The following is a 23,694-nucleotide window of genomic DNA, read 5'->3' on the forward strand; positions in this document are numbered from 1 at the left end:
ACTTAGGATTCATTTTATTTATATCAAACAGATTTAGAGATAGGGTTGAAACAATTATCGACACACACTCTTATATTCATGAGTTGCTGATAGATTATTATCATTGCTTCTGATATGCTTTCTTGTTAGAACTCTCCCAAATACCTAGGTTAAATTCTAACTTGATCTATTACAGTTGTGAACCCTCTTTATTGAATGTAAATTTTCACAAACATTAAATGTGTCTTTCATACAAGCAAAAAAAAAAAAAAAGGCTAAGTAATGCTTATTTGATTCCCAGCACTGGGGATTGATCTTCTCATTCACATAAAGAGCTGTTCTCTTCTACATTAAGAAATACAAATAGAAACATTGCTATTTCAAAAATTTGATGAATCAAATGATTCAAGAAAAAGCAGATATACATTTATAAAGTTTAATAGTAGTTGACATGGTTTGGGATCTATGTCCTCACCCAAATCTCAAGTTGAATTATAATCGCCAATGTTGGAAGTGGAGCCTGGTGGGAGGTGATTGGATCATGGTGGCAGATTTCCCCTTGGTGCTCTGATAGTGAGTGAGTGCTTGCAAGATCTGTTTTTTTTTTTGTTTTTTGTTTTTTTTAAAGTGTGGCACCTCCCCGCTCCTTCTCTCTTCCTCCTGCTCTGGCCATGTGAAGTTCTTACTTCCCCTTTCCCTTCCCCTTCCACCATGATTGTAAGTTTCCTGAGGCCTTCCCAGAAGCCACTATGCTTCCTGTACAGCCTGCAGAACTGTGAGCCAATTAAATCTCTTTTCTTTATAAATTATACAGTCTCAGATATTTCTTTGCAGCAATGTGAAAATGGACTAATACAGTAATAAATAGGAAGGGATGAATACAAAAAGGGCAATGAGGAAACTCAGTTTCTGGTCTGGGCATTTCCATGAGCTAGTTGTATGATCTTGGGCAACTCAATTATTCTCTAGGCCTAATTTTTTCATTTGGAAAAAAGGGAAGAGATAAGATTAGGTATCTTAAACATTTTTAAAGATTTTTAAGATCCTACTAAGTTTTTTAAAAAGCACTACAGTGCTGGGCGCAGTGGCTCACACCTTTAATTCCAGCACTTTGGGAGGTCGAGGCCGGTGGATCACCTAAGGTCAGGAGTTCGAGACCAGCCTGACCAACATGGTGAAACCCTGTCTCTACTAAAAGTACAAAATTAGCCAGGCATGGTGGCGTGCGCCAGTAATCCCAGCTACTCAGGAAGCTGAGGCAGAAGAATCACCTGAACCCAGGAGGCAGAGGTTGTAGTGCGCTGAGATTGCGCCATTGCACTCTAGCCTGGGCGACAAGAGCAAGACTCCATCTCAAAAAAAGAAAAAAAAAAGCACTACAAATTCTGTATTATTGGTAAAATGTCCATTGTTACAATCCTTTGACCCAGAAAGTCTTCTAAGAATTATCCCACAAATGTACTGGCCCATGTGAGCAAAGATTCATAAATGTGGACAAGTAAGTTCACTGGCATTTATACTAGCAAAAGGCCTACAGAGAAAATAATTAAACGTTCAGTAGAAAGCTAGTTTAAAAAATTATAGCCATCTACAAAATGGAATACTATGAAGTCATCTGAAAGACCGAGGAAATGATATGGAACAACTTCCAAAAGATATGGTTATGTGAACAAAGCATGGCAGAGAATGGTGTGTATAGTGTGTCATTTTAACTTTTAACAAAGGGGACAGTAACACAGACACAAACACATGGATGTGTGTGTGTGTATACACATATATATATACACACACACACACAAAAATATATATATATACACACACAAAAAATTCTTGTTTATGCAAAGAATATTTCTAATTGGATAAACAAGAAACTGGAATTGGATACATAAGAAACTGGTAGTAGCTGTTGCTTCTGGGAGGGCAACGAGCAGTTTAAGGTAGAAGAAAGATTGAACTTTTCATTGTAAACTATTTTCTCACTGTCTGATTTTTACCATGTATAGCTTTTTCATTAAATAAAGAAAAAAAACCCACAAAATTTTTACTTGAAAATACTTATATTCGCTACATTTTCAATTAGTCAAAAAACTTTATTTACCAAATATGTAATATTATCTGAGAAAAGATTGTTTTATGCAAATATTTTTCAAATTACCTTGAAAAGCCTGGGAAACACATCTGCTGGTTGTCCACGAATCACAAACAGACGGGAGTTTAATTTTCGTAGATTGGCATCAAGATCCTCAAGACACTGAAGCAAAAATCTAGAGAGAAGAAAGTATTATTTAAATTATTAAAAAATACATATTTAGAAGACATAAATTATTACAAAGTCATGTTATTCTAAAAGTTGAAATGCCAACCTATCATCTTATTACCTCCTATTGATATATACTTTTTCCAAAAACCATACTAATATATATTTTTTAATTATAGCACAAATTACCTAGTATTTTAATAAAATACTGAATAAAATCACTAATTTTCATTAAATAAAAGTGACTATTAGCAAAAATTTAATTTGTGAACATAAAAACATACAAAGAAGTATCAAAGCAATTAAATTGGTTTCATTGTTTAAACTTGATGAAATATTTTCTGTATGAAAATGGCTTTTCATATAGAAAGGAAAACTTGAAAAATCTAGAATATCTTCTGCTGGGGGGAAAAAACCAGAAACATCCTATGTAATGAATAAGCAAGTGAATAATTTAAGAATATCATGGTAAAAAGGAATCTGAGGGGACAAAAAAAAAAGATTATGAGTACTTTTTTGTAATATTGTAATCATTTAAGAGATTGAAATCATAATGCCCATTTTCAAGTTTCTAATTTATTAAAAAAAGAAACTAATAAGTAGATGCCAAATTATGTGGTTATTAATTCCCTGAGTGTAGAAAATGCCAGATTAACTTCTAAAAAAAAAAAAAAAGAAAAGGTTTCATGGAGTTGGGGTGGAGATTATAGACTTTTTCAATGAAATAAGTAGTAACAAGGCTTACACATGACAGATATCTAGGAAAATTCTGGGGCAGTACCAGAAGACTGCTTACTGTGCATCTTCTGTTGCGAAGAAATGGAACATTCCCAAGAACAAATTTAAAAGAGATGTCACCCATGGAAGGTCCAATCTTATTATTTGACTCATGTTAAGTTTCATTTAGATTCTGTTCTTTTCAGCTGGACGTATCTTATTTCCTATTTTGCTTCTTTTATGTTTTTGATCTCAAGGTTAAGTATTTGTCTGCCTTTTTCACAGGCCACATGGTCTTTCAGAATAGCAATTATCTCTTACTTGTGAAGAGGAGTGATTAAGAAGCAGGGAAATGCAAATTCTAGAAGTGCACTATCTAATATGGTAACCAAAAGGCACATGTAGCCATTTAAATTTAAGTTAGTTAAATTTAAAAATCAGTTCCTTAGTCACACTTGCCACATTTCAAGTCCTCAACAGCCACATGTATAGCTGGTGGCTGGCTACCATACTGAACAGTATAGCTACAGAACATTTCCATCATTGCAGAAAGTTCTACTGGACAGATTGTTCTAAAAAGCTGCTTGGTCTAGATCATTTTGTTCGCTTTACACATTCCGATACCATCATTTCACCAAATAAGTCTTGTTGATTTTTTACAACTGTAGTTATTAGTGACATAAGTGCACTAGTCAGGTCTGACACTTCTTCCTCTTTAGGAGCACCATCTGTACAGCTTGAAGAGTCAAGGTGCTATATTTTTATGAGGATGTTAAAGACATCCCACCATTTCACCTTAGGAAGTCTCATGGGTTTCCAAGTAGGAAGCAAACCTTTCTATCCCCACATTTATATTTTATCACATCCCTTTTCTGCCTTGGTTTGGAGTCACCTCCCTAACACCTGATCCCCATCCTAACCCACCACTACCAATGTACAAATATTTCAGGGGAGAAGACTGTTGTTGTTAGATGGATAGTGATATAAAAGCATTGGAGTTTAATAAAATTATCTCCAACTATGAATAATTTATCATGTCTGGTGACAAATGTTTATTGGGAAGCATCTAATTTTATGTATTTGCTTGGCAAGAAGAGTTACTAGACAGAACAAAGATCGAAGGGTTTTTACACAGATCAAAAATTAAGAAGTTGAAAGAACTAGCAATTTTAAGTTTTCTTAAATTGAAACAGTACAAAACTTAAATGTCCTGGAGGGGGTAATCTAAGGCAATAATAATCCCCTAATCTCTGTTGTACCATTAGTTTCAAAATCTTCCCCACCAGAAGTGAGTAAGAACTGAGAACAGCAAGAGTTCTCCATATTCAACTTTTTGGTCAAAACAATTCTATGTGGTGCAAGAGTTCAATGACAGTAAGATGGGATAAGAAACAAACCAAAAGGACATGATTAATTCATAAAATGAAGAATTAAGTATGGATTAATTAATAATCTTTCCCTTTCTTAATAGGCTGAATAAGCATTCCGAATGCTTTTAATAAACATTCTTTTTTTTTTTTTGGAGACAGGATTGTGCTCTGTTGCTAAGGCTGGAATCATGGTTCACTGCAGCCTTGACTTCTCCCACCTAAGCCTCTAGAGTGACTGGGACCACAGGCATATGCCATCATGCCCAGCTAATTTTTGTAGTTTTTGTAGAGGTGGGGTCTCCCCACGTTGCCCAGGCTGGTCTCGAACTCCTGGCCTCAAGTCATCCTCCCACCTCAGCCTCCCGAAGTGCTGGGATTATAGGCATGAACCATCACAGGCCTGGCCTTAATAAACATTATATGAACCAAACAAATGCACAGAATGATATGGACTAAAGTAATGTGTTACAATAGGAAAAGTTTTGAAACCTAAGAATTAATTTTGTTTTGGTACTTCATGAAACAAAAGACTAAAAGCTGTATTTAAGTATGGTGTTCTTCTTCCACAGATATAACTTACATCTCTCATTTCACATAAAAGCTGCACAGATTTAAAAAATAGAAACACTTAAAAAATAATATAGGTATTTTGTAATCAAATATTTTAAGTAGAAAAGATCCAAAAAGAAAAGCAAAAGAGAAGGCTAAAGTAGAACACACTATGATGCTATTCTTTGTTATAAGGCTTTTAAAACTATTTGCATATATTACTCTGATAAAATAAAATTTACATTGCATGCATCTACTTTTGTTTATATGTGCACAAGAAAATAATTGGAAAAATACTTACCAAGCTATTAATCATATCTCCCCGTTAGGGAGTGGGGGTTTGAGATAGGGGTGAGAAACAGAGAAACAAACACATTTTTTTAACTTCATAAAAAAAGTTTAAAATTGATAATTAGCATACATTCCTTCAAAGTAGAAGAAAAACGAGATACACTACATATGTATCTGGTTTAATACATGGTGAACGTCTTTTCAAGGCAATGGACGTACTTCTACAGCATCAATTTTCATAGTTTCATAGTACTTCATTGCACAGATGTCCTATAATTTAACAAGTCTATCAACAAATTACTATCCTTAAATCAATCCTGAAAAGTCCTATCTAGTCTCCTCATCTGTAAAATTGGGACAGTAATCGGACCTGTCTCATAGCATTGTTCGTGAGATTAAATAAATTAACATATGCGAAGCTCTTAGAATAGTGCCTGCCCATAGTAAGCACAATTATATGTTATCTATTACTTTTTAGTGTTCTCCTTCCTTTCCACTTCTGTTTTTGCTACAATAATTCTAGTTCATATTATCTCTTGCTTGTATTTACTGCAATGCCTTAAAATAGATCTGCCTACTAACAATCTCTCTCCATTCTAATTCATTTTATATGCAATTCCAGATCTTCATGAGGCACACCTTCCCATACAAAGGTTTTCAACGACTCATTCCCTATACAATACACAACAAATCATTTTGCTTGGCTACTAACCTAGGGTTCTAGGTTGATTTCCTACCTCATACCCCTTTCTCTCACACCAAACCAAACTTCTCTTTCAGCACACATTCAATCTCCTGGAATGTGCTCCAGGGCCTTTCCTTGGCTTGGAATACCTTTCCCAATTCCTATCCCTTTAAGTTCATATCACACTAACCTTAAATCTTCCATCTTAAAGTCACTTCTACATCTTCTGAACCTCTGAGGTACATTATGTCCTTCAGAGGATGAAAAAATTTTACCTCATATTATACATATTATATATATAACATATATATAAAATATATATATTATATATAATTACATATATATTACATATATATATAAAATATATATATATATATTACATATATATATAAAATAAAACCTCCTCCTAATGGATTTCAAATTAAGTCAGTTCTCCCCATCTCTCTCTTTCTGAGACACAGTCTTGTTCTGTCATCCAGGCTGGAGTGCAGTGGCACGATCTCAGCTCACTGCAGCCTCCACCTCCCAGGTTCAGGCAATTCTTGCGCCTCAGCCTCCCAAGCAGCTGGGATTACAGGAGTGTGCTACCACCCTGGCTAATTATTTTTGTATTTTTAGTAGAGATAGGGTTTCACCATGTTGGCCAGGCTGGTCTTGAACTCCTGACCTCAGGTGATCCACCTGCCTCAGCCTCCCCAAGTGCTGGGATTACAGGCATGAGCCATCAGGCCTGGCCCTAACTACAGTTTTCTTAATCTATATTTTGGTTTCTATATTTGGCAAACAAATCTCATTATGTGCCTTGTATAATTTGTTGAAAAGATTAGAAACAGGATCAAATGACCTAGTAGGGGTGTCTTGTGTAACTGTTGAAAGGATTAGGAGCCTCATAAAATCACCTAGTAGAGTCTCTAGCACATGGTAGATATGTATCAAACAGAAGTTGTTATTTTCCCTTGAGAATAATTCCTGTTTTTTTTTTTTTTTTTTTTTAAAGAAAACACCCCATGCATTTCTATATGTAAATACTTGGGCATGACAAAAGAAAACGTGAATTAGTTGGATGCCTACACCTGTATACAGAATTACTTTGAATTCACAACTTCATCTGAATGTGACTTTGAACTATGATTTGAAGGAAACCTTTCCCAGTAGCAAGGTCAATGTGACTATAAATATTATAAAACAAGGTACAACGCAATTAAGACTCAACTAATCTCTAAGCATATAATTTTTCCTTGATAATACCTCTAACAGCCCAGGTTCAAAGTATCAACTCAGTGATGTGTGTGATTTCTCTTTAATGCTGAACGAATAATGTTACTTCAAAACTATACAAAATCTAATGCTCAATCCTTTACCCTTAACTGGGAAAGGATTAGATCTGTTAGAGTTCAGATTCAGTGTGTTCCAAAGAACACACCAAGTTCAACTTTAATGTAATAGAAATGCATGTGCTCTGGGACACTCAATATTGAATGAAATGAATGATTTATTTTTAATATATTCCACTGAAAATACATATGATATCATCTTAACAGGAACATACTTTCAGACCTTCTCCAATTTGGCATATATATTATTTTCTTGAACTACACCCATTTGATGGCTCCGTTATTACTGCTATTAACTACATACAACAGGTTGCTTTTTAAATAGGCCAAATGATAGTAAAACTCACTATATCCCTTCATATAATTGTACTGCCTACATAGAAGCACAGTCCTCATATTATTTAATTACAATACTGAACACACCACTTTAAATTGAAGAGGCATTAGGTGACAAAATATATATTTCTTCACTTTAAACATTTTAAGGATTTTTTTCCTCCAGAGATCACTATCTATTGCTGTTATTTTAAAAATTATATGCAGTAAGCTTCCTTATACCACTTCCAAAAGATGACTTCAACATGAATCAACAGAAATATTTTCCTAAAGTAGGTCATTGCTATAGCAACCAGTGGACGGTTTAGTATACTCCGTCACAATGACCTACTTACCAGTCTGTGCTAGAACAGCTTTATATAACTAGAATTTCTAGTTCTGTCTATGAAATAGTCCAAAAAAGGCAATGGTAAGATACAACATAATCCTATTGCTGCTGAACACAAGGCATTAAGAACATGTACCATGCCAGAATAAAGCCATGTGGTTCTGTATGCTAGTTTGTAAAATATATCTTACACACTCAGCAATAAAAACTACACTTACAATATCTAAACAGGAACAACTCATTGCTGACCCCAAAGAACTGATTCAAAGAATATAAACTAAAATCACTAAAACTACAAGGAGAATAACCTTATTATCCACATAAAACAAGAGTTAAATGTAGAAAAAACTAAAGTTCTGTATACACCATCATAAAGAAAAAAAATGGAGATTCTCAGTCATTAACCAAAGTCTATTATATTTTATTAGAGATTTAAAAAATATAACAATTTGTGTGTGTGTAAATTTAATAAAATTTACATATGCTCTTTTTTCTGGTTTGTTACAAATTTTTAGTGCTTTCATCTAACTTAATTTTACCTAAATTGTCTGGATATTTGTGATACACACTTTCCCTGAAGATAAGAGTTTAATGTTCAATAAAGATGAAATATATATTTTAAAAGCAAACTTTGCATTTGCCACACTCTAAAAGCCATAAACCAGTAGACCTATATCACTTTTTATAACTAATATTTTGCAATGCCCTCTTTTAAATCCTGAAATAAAAGACCTAGATAATATAACATTTCCATACACACAATTTTAAAGCATTAATATCATGCTCTAATTGAAACATATAGGAGAAATTAAAGGAAAGTCATTAATATTTTAAAAAGAAGTAACATGTACTTCTAGAGGTAAATATGTGGGCATGATATAAGGAGACAATGAATTAAAACTCAGTGTCCACACCTACATACAGAATCATTTAAAATTTAACAGCTACAAAACAGACTAACACAGTTGTGTTACTGGCGACTCAAACATCATACACCATGAGTGATATTGCCTTTGGTGATGTGATTTTCTGAAATATTGACCAAGACAGGAAAGTTCAGAAAAAAAAGCAAAGTACAATCTTTCCTTTATTTATATAGGTGATAAATACATTCCAGGGAAACTCAGTGTATATTAAAATTGTGTAAAAAATACCTACTGTTTATACATAAAGATTTAGGCTCTAGGTTCAGACAATTATGAATAAGTTTTTCACTTACATTAAACATCTGGAAGAACATTTGAAATTTATGTGTAACTCAGAAAAACTATTTTATTTACTTATTTACTTTAGAGACAGGGTCTCGTTATGTTGCCCAGGCTGGCCTCAAATTCCTGGACTCAAGTGATCCTCCCATCTCGGTTCCTGAATAGTCAGGACTACGTGCATGCACACTATGGCACCTAGAGACAACTATTTATTTTGAGGGATTACTCTGAGTACTGAAAGAAATCTTCCATTCTTGGCTTCTCCTTACTAATTCCACTAGCACCTTCCAATCATTGTGACAACTGGCCGGACACAGGGGCTCATGCCTGTAATCCTAGCACTTTTGGGAAGCCAAGGTGGGTGGATCACTTGAGCGCAGGAGTTTGAGACCAGCCTGAGCAACATAGGGAGATCTCATCTCTACAAAAAGTACAAAAAAACTAGCTGGGCGTGGTGGCGTATGCCTGTAGTCCTAACTACTTGGGGTGGGCTGAGGCAGGAGGATCAATTGAGCCTGGGAGGTTGAGGCTGCACTGAGCTGGCTGTAATCATGCCACTGCACACTGTACTCCAGCCTGGGCGACAGAGTGAGGTCTTGCCTCAAAAAAAAAAAAAAAAAAAATCAATCATTATGACAACTGAAAATTCCTCTACAAAATTTCTAAAATGTGTTTGAAGGAGTGATACTGTTAATTACTTCTATAATTTCAATCACTGATTTATGAGTCATACAAAGATAAATGAGGTTCCAATACTCACAGAGCTTAAAACCTAAAAAAGTAACCTGAATATGTATATTATGTAAATAAATACTACAGAACTGGCTATGGTAGAATAAAACATATAAAATACAAATAGATATCACTAATATGCTCTGAAAAATCAGGTGGGAGAAATCATTTCTGGATTTTTCTTTCCTTGTTTTGATATGGGGAGCGGCTTAGGCAAAAATTTCAAGGATGTGGTGGTGATGGTAGGTAGTGACCCTGAAGTATCAATACAATAGCTGGAGATAAGGAAGGAGAATTATTGGCCACTGGACTGTAGCCTGCAACTAGGCCTTGTTCACCACTTCCCACTGTCCAATTCCTGACATATAGCAGGAGTTCAATAAATATCTATCTAATGACTAAATAAATTAATGAAAGCAGAAGAAAGGGATTTTAAAGGCTTGATTCAACAGTCAATGAAGAAGGAACAAGAATGGGAAAGAATATTCTCTGAATGTCTATTGTGCTGGATACTTTACATATATTATATTCCCAACAATTTTACAAGGTATCTCATTTTAAAAATGATGGAATCTGAAACTCACCAAGGACATTTCCATACCCAGGTAAACAATGAAGCAGAAAATTTAATCTGGATGTCTCTGACTCCAAACCATAGTGCTCTTTGTACTACATAATGTGACTTTTCTACAGAATATGTAATAATCTAAGATGTTTTAGGAAAATTAATTTGACAGCTTTAAGAACATAACAATGACTAGTATACAGTTTTTGTCCTCAAGCTGAGGAATAGGCGTGTGTATCAATTAAGAAGAATTTAGGATATACCATGGTAACAAATCAGTCAAAACAGGTCACATGGCCAAGTTAGTCTTCAAAAAGGCAGGAAAGCATAATCTTCTTGCAGGAAGGGACACTAAATAACAGTGTACAGTAATGATATCTACCACAATATCTAAGCACTGATATTATGTGCCATGTGGTAAATTTTATTATGAAAAGTGTATTATGGTAGCCCAGAAGAAACCTAACTGTGTGGGGGTGGGGAAGGGGGCAGGGGAAGGCACAAGGAAGAAAAGATTTGAGTAGAGTTTAGAATTAATAGGTGTTGCTTAAGGTGATAAAGCAGAAATGGGCAACCAAAGCAGAAAAAATAGTATGTATGCTTAAATCACAGAAACTCAGAAGAGCTGGGGGTTGGGGGTACCTGGGGACTGTAAGTATTATGCTTTCTATACTAAGTTGTATATTCTCCCCAACACAAGCTTTAACATTTCAAAATATATTCAAATCAATGTCAAAACAAACCTGTTATCAACTTCTGTTGTTGACAGTACACCGGATTAAGATACCCTAACAGAAATAACTAACAAACTGAGAAACAACAACAACAACAGAAAAGTTCTTAAAATAATTCACCGGGTTGTCCAAAAAGCAAGAAGGCATAACAGGTCACAGGGAGCTAAAGTCAGCTTTAGCCCTGGGGATTTCTGCAGAGCCCTGAGAACTCTGAGCTTCATCTGGGTTGAAGAGGACAGGAGATAAAGCCCAAGACCCACCCAAAGTAAGGAAGCTAATAATAGATTCAATATAAAGCCTGGGCTTCCAAAAGCTTTAGTAAATAAGACATAAATCTTTTTTTTTTTTTTTTGCTTATTATACCCAGACTGCTCTGAAAGATACAAATCTTAAGTCACAGATGAAGACTACAAAGAAACTTATCTGTCTCTAGCCAGTTTGGGATGAAAGAAAATAAAATCTCTCCTTGAATGGAAAGGAAAAAATAGTAACTTTACAGCAGTGAATACTGACAAGTACTACCTTAACCACACAATCAGAGTCAACAACACCAGTGATAGGTCAATCATGTTGATATTATGTTCACTCTGACTTAATGTGATGAGAAAACCATTTCACCTCTGTGATATTGTCCCCCAAACCCCCATAACCCTAGTTTAATTATCAAAAAAAATCAGAGAAACTCAAATTGAGGGCCGTTCTACAAAACATTTGACCAGTACTCAAAACCACAGAGGTCATTAAAAATAGAGAAAGCCTAAGAAACTGTTACAGAGGAGACAAAGGAGACGTATGACTAGATGCAGTGTGGTATTCTAGATGGGATTGTGGAAAAGAAAAACTTAGTGGAAATCTGAATAAAGTCTGGAGTTTAGTTAGTACTATGGTTTCTTTTTCTTTTCTTTTCTTTTTCTTTTGAGAGGGAGTTTCGCTCTTGTCGCCCAGGATAGAGTGCAGTGGCATGATCTTGGCTCACTGCAACCTCCACCTCCCGGGTTCAAGCGATTCTCCTGCCTCAGCTTCCCAAGTAGTTGGGACTACAGGCATGCGCCACCACGCCCGGCTAATTTTGTATTTTTAGTAGAGACGGGGTTTCGCCACGTTGGCCAGGCTGGTCTGGAACTCCTGACCTCAGGTGATCCACCTGCCTCGGCCTCCCAAAGTGCTGGGATTACAGGCATGAGCCACCACGCCCGGCCAGTACTATGGTTTCTTAGTTTTAATAAAAGCACCATGGAAATGGAAATGTTAATATTACAGGAAACAGGATACAGAGCATACAGGAACTCTGTGTATTATCTCTGCATATTTTCTACAAATCTAAAATTATTCAAAAAAATTTTATTAAAAAAATCCTCCGAGAATGAATCACCTCAACGCAAATTCATGGAAACTATGTGGTCCCAAACACCTCAAGCATGACAATGCGTTTAAAGTGGTCACAGGCTTGGTGTGCTCTGAGATAACTGTTACAGACACACACACACACACACACGTCACAAATCCTCTCTGTATTCTCAACTTTAAAACTCAGACTTCAGGCCAGGCACGGTGGCTCACGCCTATAATCTCAGAGCCCACGAGTTCTAGACCAGCCTGGGCAACATGGAGAAACCCTGATTAAATTAGTTGGGCATGATGGCATGCACCTGTAATCTCAACTACTCGGGAAGCAAAGGTGGGAGGATCGCTCAAGCCCAAGAAGTCAAGGCTACAGTGAGCTGTGATCACTTCCCTGCACTCTAGCCTGCATGACAGAGCAAGATCAATTTTAAATTGGTATCATTTATATGTTTTGAAATTAGAAAATACTTGAAGACTTGAAATTAAGAAAAACAGCAGAATAAATCCTTAAAAACTAAAAAGAAGAAAATGATAAAGAACAGAAATTAGTGAAAACAGAACACAAATTCGTGAGAAACAGCAAAGCCAAAATGTATTATATGAAGAGACAATAATATAAATGTCCGACAAGAATAATTAAGAAAAAAAATGGGAGAGGGAAGAGTAAGAAATGTTAAGAATTTTTTAAAAAGTGGGGACATAATCTTAGATACTGCAGGGATTAAACGGAAAATAAATAATTTTATGCAAACAAATTTGAAAACTTAGATGAAATAAATTCCTTGCTAAAACTGACTCAAGAAACTTAAAACTTACCAAAATGGACTCAAGAGTAAAGAAAGAACAGGAATAATTCTAAGTCACTAAATAAATTGAATCCATAGCTTAAAATCTTACAAGAAAAACACAAGAGTCAGTTAGCTTTACAGATGAATTCTACAAAATATTTAAGGAATAGATAATTCTATTTTTACAAAGGATTCCAATCTCATAAAAAGGATAGACAGAAAAGGAATATTTAACTTATTTTATAAGGTTAGATTTACCTTGACACCAAAACCAGACAAAGACAGTATAAAAGAAAATTATAAACTAATTTCACTCATGAGCATATTATCACAGCAAACCAAATCCTGCAATATACAAAACATATTATATATCATGATCAAGTTGGGCTTATCCTCAGAAAGTTAAATCATTTAATATTTACAAATTGGTTACTGTAATTCACCTCATTCATAGAATAAAGAAGAAAAACTATATAACCAATTGACGAGATGTATAAAGAGTAGCAACAAAATCTCAATTCCCTTTAGCTTCAATAAACTAGAACTAGTAGGTAACATCCCTAATCTGAAAAAGGGTACCCGTAAAAATACTTAGGGAAAACAGCATATGTAATAGTGAAATGTTGAAAGCACTTCCTTTAAGATCGGAAAGAAGACAAAGATGCCTACTCCCACCGCTTCTCTATGCAATCTAGTAGGCCTAACTAATGTAGTGCAGGTTGAGCATCCCAAATCTGAAATGCTTCAAAATCCAACACATTTTGAGTGCTGACACTGTCACAGGCATTTGAACCAGAGTGACTCCATCTTAAATAGGGCCTTGGTAAAATAAGGCTGAGACCTGCTGAGCAGTACTTCCAGGAAGTTAGGCGTTCTTAGTCACAGGGTGAGACAGGAGGTCGGCAGGACTGGTATCACAAGATACAGGTCATAAAGACCCTGCTGATAAAACAGAATGCAGTAAAGAAGGTAGCCAAAACCCACCAAACCAAGATGGAGACGAAAGTGACCTCTGGTCATCCTCACTCCACATTATACACTAATTATAATGCATTAGCAAGTTAAGACACCCCCACTAATGCCATGACAGTTTACAAATGCCAAGACAACATCCAGATGTTACCCTATATGGTCTAAAAAGAGGAGAAATCTTCACTTCTGACAACTCCCCACCACTTTTCCGGAAAACTCATGAATAAGCCACCCCTTGTTTAGCATATACTCTTGACTGAGTATACTCAGTCAAGAAACCCATGATGCTGCTCTGTCTATGGACTGGCCATTTTTTGTTTCTCTACTTGTCTAATAAATTCGCTTTCATTTTACTCTGTGGACTTGCTCCAAATTCTTTCTTAAGTGAGTTCCAAGAACCCTCTCTTAAGGGCTGAATCAGAAGCCCATGTCTGGTAACATGACATTCAAAGGAAATGCTCCAATGAATTCGGTTGCTCAACTAGTAATGTCAATATTCAGAAATATGGGGAAGAATCTGAAATCTAAAACACTTCTGGTCCCAGGCTTTATGGACAAAGGATACTCAACCTGTAACGGAAGAGGAAGAAATAAAAGGCATAAGGATGGGAAAGGAAGAAGCAAAACCATGATTATTTATAGATGATAGGCAAATAAGTACTATCGATACAGAAAAAAATAAATACATAAATAAGCGTTTCAAAGGATTAAAATCACTTAATTTCTGGCATCAATTAGACTAATATAATCCTTGTAACTTATGCCTCTCTGATCTCAAAAATCACACAGAGCTATTTATAGTCCAGAAATTGTATTAGTTCTTATCTAACTTTAGAAATCACTGCATTGTGACTCTACCAGGTTAGGCCAAATAAAGTATAAGATATACTTCTAGGATTTAAAGGATCTACATACAACTAAAATAACATCTGCCTAACGTGTTCAAAAACATGCTGTCCCAGATCTATGAATAATGCTTTTCTGTAGTCTAACAGCCCTATTTCAAATTTCTGTCCTTCAAAAAGATATTAATAATGCTGAAAAATTATTCCACTTTTTTTGATCTATGACTTAGCACATGTAACTATTCAGGTCTGTTTGAAGTTTGGCCAATGGTCAAGATTTTTCTCGTACTGACATTACTGCAAAAATTTAGTCACTTATGCAATCTATCCAGTAATGTATCTATTAACAATTTATTGAGAGCCTATTAAGTGTCAGACATTGTTGTGGTCCCTGGTAATAAAGCAGAGAACAAAATTAAGTGCCTGCTATCATGAGGTTTGGATGTTAGATGATAATTATGATGATAATGATGATTACAGCTGCAAACATTTAGAAAGTGTGTATAAGACACTGCTCTAAGCACTTTAAATGTTTATACTCAATAACCCTTTGATATAGGTACTTCCTCCATTTCAAATGAGGAAACTGAAACATATACTGGTTAAGTAATTTTCCCAAGGACACTTGAATAATAAAGTGGCAAAGCCATGATTTCAAACCCAGTCAGCTTGGCTCCAAATTCCAAGCTCCTTGAACCATACAGTATTTCAGTGCTGATAATTTTTATGGAGAAAACTAAAATAGAGTAGAAGGATATCGGGGGGTATAATTTTATGCAAAGCAGTCATAGAAGGATTTATTCATATCCTTCCATTTATTAAACATCTCCCTTTGAAGATTGCCTCAGACCATCTCCTCCCACAGTCTTCCAATCTCATTTAATTCCATCCTTCAAGTTAATCAGGGCAAAGACTCACCTGGTTGGTCAGAATAGAACAGGGTTATGCTGCAGTAACAAACAACCTCCCAAATCAGTGGCTTGACAAAACAAAAGTTTTCATCTTGCTCATGCTGAGTTCACTGCAGCTCCAGCTAGTTATCTTCTAATGGTGACTTTACCGTCCCAGCTATTATGACCTTGTGGTTCTATAATTTCAACACAAGGCCTCCTCCACAGTAGGGGAAGAACTGGGAAACATACAGGGCTTTACATTGCCTTCACCAAGTACTTCCTCACACAATTCATTGGCCAGAAAGAGTCACACGGCCTCGCCAGACTGCAAAGAGAGCTGAGAATTGAAATGTTGCATAGCCCAGGTACGAATGGTGAATTGGATATTGGTGAACACTACCACATCATCCTTGACCTCTCTTTCTTTCATAGTCCACATCTAAAACTATGGCAAATCTTAACAGCTCTATGTTCAAAATACATCCAGAATCTGATTACTTCTGACTGCCTTTACCTCTACAGCTCAGGTTCAATTCTTCATCATTTCTGACCTAGATGATTCCACTGGCCTTCTATCTGATCTCACTGCTTCCATACTTGTCCTTACTGCCATCCAGTCCAGTCTTCACCCAGATGCCAAGTGGTCATGTCATCTCTATGAACAAAGTCTCCAACTGCAATGACTTCCCAGTCCATTTAAAGTTGGTGGTTTTTTTTTTTTTTTAAGTCCTTAAAATGGCTTTCTAGGTCCTACAGAACGAACCCGGGCAACCAATACCACTATGACTCCATCTTTCTTACTACTCTCCTTCTCACTCACTCTGTTCCAGCCACATGTCCTCCTTGGGATCCTGTGAGCATGCCAGAAATGCTCCTACTTCAGTACCTTTGCACAGGATGTTCTTTCCATCCAGAATACATTTCCCTCATACATCCACAGGGTTCAATTCCTCTCTTTCTTTAGGTCATTGCTCAAAGGTCATCTCTGAAGTGAGGCTCTCTCTGACCATCTTATCTAAAATAGACCTCTCCCCACCTCTGGCCCCTAGCATTCCTGAGCCCCCTTCCTTGCTATCTCTTTAACATACTATATAATTTATTTATGTGTTAATGACCTGTATCTCACCCCCACTCAGATGTAAATTCCATGAAAGTAAGGTTTTTGCCTCTTTTATTCACTACATTCAATAAATATATATAGTTTCAATGAATGAAGATGACATGTGAGCAGAAAGACACCTAAGGGGGTAAATGACCTATACAGATAACAGAGAAAACAGAACATCACAGAGGGAATAAAGGCCCAGACACATGGGACCTCATGACTGTTTGAGGAACAAAAAATAGGCCAATATGCTTGGACATCAAATAGTAAGGGGAAAGAATAATAAGAAAATGGTAATCCCAGCACTTTGGGGGCCAAGGCAGGTGGATCACCTGAGGTCAGGAGTTCGAGACCAGCCTGGCCAACATGGTGAAACCCTGTCTTTACTGAAAATACAAAAATTAGCCAGGCGTGGTGGTGCGCGCCTATAATCCCAACTACTCGGGAGGCAGAGGCAGGAGAATCACTTGAAACTGGGAGGTGGAGGTTGCAGTGAGCCAAGATCACACCATTGCACTCCAGTGTGGGCAGCAAGAGTGAAACTCAATTTCAAAAAAAAAAGGAAAATGATGTTCAGGTTCTACTGGGAGTCAATCACATGTGTCCGTGTAAATCATGGTAGAGACTTAAGTTTTTACTCTGAGTGAGTTGGGAACTCATTGAAAGCTTTTGAGCAGAGGTTGGAACATAATATAAATTTGTTTTTTAGAAATTATTTTATTTATTTATTTATTTATTTATTTTAGAGAAAGAGTCTCACTCTGTTGCCCAGGCTGAAGTGCAGTGGCATGATCATAGCTCACTGCAGCCTCAAATTCCTAGGCTTAAACGATCCTCCCACCTCAGCCTCCCAAGTAGCTGGGACTACAGGCACATACCAGCACACCTGGCTAACTTTTTAATTTTTTGTAGCTATGGGGTCTCACTATGTTGCCAAGGCTGGATTCGAACTCCCAATCTCAAGCAATCCTTCTGCTTTGGCCTCCCAAAGCATTAGGATTACAGGTGTGAGCCACCACAGCTGGCCCTGAATTTGCCTTTAAAAGGATCACTTGGGCTGCTGAGTAGAAAATAAGTACCAGGCAAAGAAAGGGCAGGCACAGGAAAATCACTTAGAGGTTACTACTTCTTTACAAGAGAGATGATGATGACATGGATAAAACTGGTAATGGTGAAAATGGTAAAAGAGTGGGGATCTGAATAGAAATTCAAGAGCTAATACAGCAAAGGAAATGAGATGACTAAGTCTGGAGTTCATGGTAGAAGGCTGAATTTGAGATATAAAACTGGAAATCATCAGCACATTTGTAGTAGTCTTAAGACTAGATGAAGGAAAAGAATGGCTGACAGAAAGAAGCAGCTTCACTTTGAATAAACAGAAGGAATGATAGAGAAGGCTGAAGAGAGAGCAGAAAAGAGGAAAGATGGAATAAAGTCTACAGAAGCAGTGGCAAAGGATAGATGTATGTATTCTCAGAAGGAAAGATGGATGGATTGACTTATAAAAGAAATGGAGGAAGGAAAAACAGCTAAATGGGACAGAGAAGCAAAGATAGAAGACAGAAGCAAGGGCATGTGGGACAGCAAAACGAAGACTAACGGAATATAAAAGCAAGAATGGATAAAGACAGATGGAAAATCGTAAGAGGGTCAAAAAGAAGGAAATAAGAACGATGTCAGTGAAATGATAGAATAGGAAGTCCTGGACTTTCCTTTCATCCACAGACACACTGATTCAACAGCAATACACAGATCAATTCCCTTTGTGAGAAACAAACTAGTTGAGAAGCTCCTGCACATTGGGAGAATGTGAAACTAGCCACACTGAAACTAGCAGGAGACACCCTCTCATCAAAATCTCCACTCTTGGCACAGAGCCATATGATTGAGACAAAACTCTCAGCTCCTAGGTTTTCCCTGAGGAAGATACATCCAATGTTCCATCCCTCCCAGCTGCTGCCCAAGAGACTAGCATCTGTATCATTCAACACAGAGTGCTGGGCGTGGTGGTGCATGCCTGTAATCCCAGCTACTCGGGAAGGCTGAGGCAGAAGAATCACTTGAACCTGGAAGGCGGAAGTTGCAGTGAGCCGGGATCGTGCCATTGTACTCCAGCCTGGGCAACAACAGCAAAACTCCACCTCAAAAAAAATAAAATAAATAAAATAAGGCCTTCATCTTACACTATACACAAGAATCAGCTCAACATGGATTAAGACTTAAATGTAAGGTCTGAAACTGTAACACTCCTACAAGAAAACAGAGGAAAAAGCTTTGTGACATTGGGTCTTGGCAATGCTTTCATCAATATGACTCCAAAGGAACTGGCAACAAAAGCAAAAATAGATGACATCAAACTAAAACCTTCTGCACAGCAAAGGAAACTATCAACAGAGAGAAAAGCTCACCTATAGAATGGAAGAAAATATTTGCAAACCATTTATCTGATAAGGAGTAAATTTCCAAAATATGTAAGGAACTCCTGCAACTCAATAACAGAAAACAACCCGTTAAAAAATGGGCTATGCATTTGAACAGGCATTTTTCTAAAGGAAACAAACAAATGGCCAACAGGTATATGAAATGATGTTCACATCACAAATCATTAGAGAAATGCAAATCAAAACCACAATGAGATATCACCTTATACCTATTAGCTATTGTCAAAAAAATAAAAGGCAATGTGTTGGCAAGGATATGGAGAAACTGGAACCCTAATGTAATGTTGGTGGCGCTGCAAAATGGTGTGATCAGTGTAGAAAAAAGCATAGAGGTTCCTAAAAAATTTTTGAATAGAACTACCATATGATTTGGCCACTCAACTCAAGGTTTTTATCCAAAAGAACTAAACTAAGGATTCCAAAGCAATATTAGCACTCCCAAGTTCACTGCAGCACTATTCAAAATAGCCACAAGATGGAATGAATCCAAAAGAATGGATTAAGAAAATATTATACATACATACATATACACACACGTATATGCATACATACACACAAATATAAAATACACACACAATGGAATATTATTTGGCTATTAAAAAGAAGCAATCCTTCAATATGTGACAACATGGATGAACCTTGAGGACATTATGCTAAGTAAAATAAGCCAGTGAAAAAAGGACAAATACTGCATGATTCCATTTATATGAGGTATATAAACTGGTCAAACTCATAGAAGCAGAGAATACATAGAATGGTGGCTATCTGGTGCTACAGGAAAGGGGAAACAGGAAGTTGCTAATCGACAGGTATACAGTGTCAGTTATGAGAGATGAATACTTTCTTTCCTTTTTTTTTTTTTTAGTTTTTTTTTTTTTTTTGAGACGGAGTCTCGCTCTGTCACCCAGGCTGGAGGTGCAGTGGCACAATCTCGGCTCACTGCAACCTCTGCCTCCTGGTTCAAGTGATTTTTCTGCCCCAGCCTCCCGAGTAGCTGGGACTACAGGTGTGCACCACCACACCTGGCTAATTTTTGTATATTTAGTAGAGATGGAGTTTCACCATATTGGCCAGGCTGGTTTCAAACTCCTGACCTCATGATCCACCCACATCGGCCTCCCAAAGTGCTGAGATTACAGGTGTGAGCCATGTGCCCAGCCAAAAGATGAAAACTTCCTAAAAATCTGTTGTAGAACTTTGTGACTATAGTTAATAATGTATTTTACACTTAAAAATCTTTCAACAGGGTAGATCTCAATTATTCCTACAGCAATAAAATATATTTTTAAAAAAAAGAAGAGGGAAGAGTAGATAGGAACAATCAAACCAAAATTTTAGAATCCTAAATCTGACGTGATATTCTGTAACAAAAAAGGTCAATTACTAATAAGTGAGTTATGAACCTTCCATGAATCTCAAATATATTGCATATACACTTGATTTCATCTTTGTAAGTGAGACATATCTCTTGACTTTATGGATGCTATATAAACCTTTAAAAAAAAAAAAAAGAGATGGGATCTTGCTATGCTGCCCAGGCTGGTCTTGAACTCTCAGTCTCAAGTGATCTTCCTGCCTCAACCTCCCAAGTGCTGTGATTACAGGCATGAGCCACTGCATCTGCCCTATGGATGCTATACAACTAAATGACAGAACCTGTTCTACACTTACAGAGAGAAATATGAGAGGTGAAGCTAAGAATTAATTAGATAACATGTAGAACCGCCTATTGAGGTACATTCTTTCATTTATACAGCCAACATTTGGGCGTTTACTCAGGATACAAAAAAAAAAAATTCTACTCCTTAGAATCTCCACCATTTAATGAGATTAAAATACACAAATTTATTGTTATATTAATGAATGCATTGTATCATTGATGTCCCCAATGTTAAAGCACATAAAAAAGGAAAGCAATTATACTAGGGAAGATCTCTAAGGTTTTATAACAGAAAGATGGTAACTAATCTGGGTCTTTTTATATCTATCATGGCACTTTGTGACAGCAGCTTAAGTTGATCTTTACTTGAAGTATTTTTTAACTTCTGAGGTTGACTTAACACTAGCATAAGGCTATGTAATTTATGCCTTCCTAATCTCTAAATCACATAACAGTATTTGAAATATAGGACTTTTACTATTCCATGTGTATTTTTAGAAGCTGCTGCAACATAACACTACAGGCCAAAAATCATGTATAAAATATACTTCTAGGCTTTACAGGATTAATATGGAACTAAATGAAGTATGTTCAACATGTTTACAAAAGCAAATGGAGGAGCTATATATGCTGGTTTTCTGATATTCCTATTTTTACGCTAGATGAATTCAAGTTTTTCAGATGCTTTCATAGTGGTAGGACTATGGGGTGGGGGTGGGGAAGAGTGCCAGGAAAAGAAAAATAAAGCTGTAAAAGTTGAATACAGCACCCAGATTTTGGTTTTTAAATATCGTCCCCCAATAAGAATAACCAAGACTCAACAGAGCAGTTGCTGATTCCGGGGCTGCGGAAAGGAAAACAGAAGATGAACTGGAGCATTTCATAGTGTCAGAAAAAAGTGCTCAAGACAAATAGGATTGGTGTATGTTAAACAACAGGATGGGTGCCAACACTGGAACAATTTAAATGAAATAAACAGTAATAGCAGTACATTATGACCCAAAGAGTAAAAAAAATATACTCATGAGTCTGTACTTTTATAAATGAATGACTGAATAATTAAATCAATGAGGGAGAAGGAACAACTCTTCATTACAGAAGAATTCCAACTAATAAATATAGGATGAATGAAGGGAATAGAAAAATCATCATTAGAATAGCACATAATTCAGGCAAGATCTACTGTTGAATACTAAAATTCATGGTTGAATGTTTAAGGAGACAGAATATTTACAAAGTCTGAAAGTATCTCTCCCAAAATATTAATTACAGAAGAAAAATAGTAATTTTACAGCTGAGAAACCTGGCAGACATTAACTGAAACACATGATCAAGGTTAGTATCATTTGTAACAAGACATACCGATACCACATATCCCCTGATATAAAAAAAAGGCACATCACTTCTGTGGCATTTTTCCCCCAAAATGCATAACCTTAATCTAACTATGAGAAAATATCAGATAAAATCAAATTGAGGAGCAGTCTACAAAATACTTCGCCAGGTAATGATATACTGTATCTGAGTAAGATGGCCAACTGGAAGCCCCTAGCACTCATCGCCATCACAAAGACAGACAGAACAACAAATAAACAAATGTATTTTGAAGAAAATAGCTAAGGGAGAACACTGGGGTATATCACAGGAACAGAAACCCTGGTGAGTACAGAAACTTAGGATGGCCACACGGAGAATGGAAGGAAATGCCGGGCCTCCACCACCTCATCCTCCAAATGGGATCAGCTGAAAGCCAGGAGGAACTTCTCATGGTGAGGAGATAAGCAAGAGGATCCCAGCAACCTCCATCAACACCTTGAACATGTAGAGATCTTACCTCACAGGTACAAAGTCCAGCTGACGGAATTACCTGGAGTCCACGTAACTGTGCTCACCGTAGAGAAAAAGCAAACACTAGGCTCCACACCCTGCAGCTACAGGGCTACTACGCTATGCCATCGTAGAATTGGAACTATGGCTGGAGGGTGTCTTGCTCTGGCGGTGAGTAGCCGTGACTCTCCTTCATCTCTGAGACTAAGATGCAACTGAACCACCGCCCCAGCCAAGTGGTCCAACATCCCCAAGCCAAGCTTCCTTTCCTGTGGGGCCAAGCAGAGACAGAGCCACTTTACTTACCCCTCCACCCTTGTGCTTGAGCTGAAGTAGTATCTTGCCTCTTGCAAAAACAGTACCTTGGCCACTCTGAGCAGTCATGTCTCCCTGAAGTCTAAGATGAAGCAGTGCCCTGCATCCCAGGAAATGGTGACTTGGCCACCCAGAAGAATGATCATGCATTACAGTACCTAAGCTGAAGTGGAGCCCTACATCCCAGGGAAATGGTTCCTGGTCTTCCCAGAATAATCACACTCTACCAAGCTTGAGCTGAAGCAGCATTATCACCCTCTGGGAATAGGTGCCTTGGCTGAGCCGAGCAGCTGCACATCTCAGAGCTGAGCTGATGTAGTACCCTGCATCCCAGGGCAAAAAAGCAGTGGCTAAGCTGAGATACTCTGCTCTACAGGCCAAACAGCTCTAGTATCCTGCTTCTGTGGAGCTGGACTAGC

The 23,694-nt window shown here is 36.9% G+C and overlaps 1 protein-coding gene across 17 annotated transcripts in view; it reads right to left on the minus strand.

The window, feature by feature from the left end:
* Positions 1–23,694, minus strand: part of CRY1 (cryptochrome circadian regulator 1) — a 102,186-nt gene that overhangs the window by 28,586 nt on the left and 49,906 nt on the right. For 16 of the 17 annotated variants that reach the window (NR_182153.1, NR_182152.1, NM_001413468.1 and 13 more), the window contains one exon: positions 2,135–2,243. Coding sequence is in view for 10 of the 17 variants with exons in the window: in NM_001413463.1 (NP_001400392.1) it covers positions 2,135–2,243 (109 nt within the window). In the remaining 7 variants the exon portion in view is untranslated. Of the gene's footprint in view, positions 1–2,134; positions 2,244–22,967; positions 23,230–23,694 lie in introns of all 17 variants that reach the window. The other variant, NM_001413469.1, reaches the window with a different exon arrangement.

Source organism: Homo sapiens, chromosome 12 (assembly GCF_000001405.40).
Source record: "Homo sapiens chromosome 12, GRCh38.p14 Primary Assembly".
Lineage (NCBI taxonomy): Eukaryota > Metazoa > Chordata > Mammalia > Primates > Hominidae > Homo > Homo sapiens.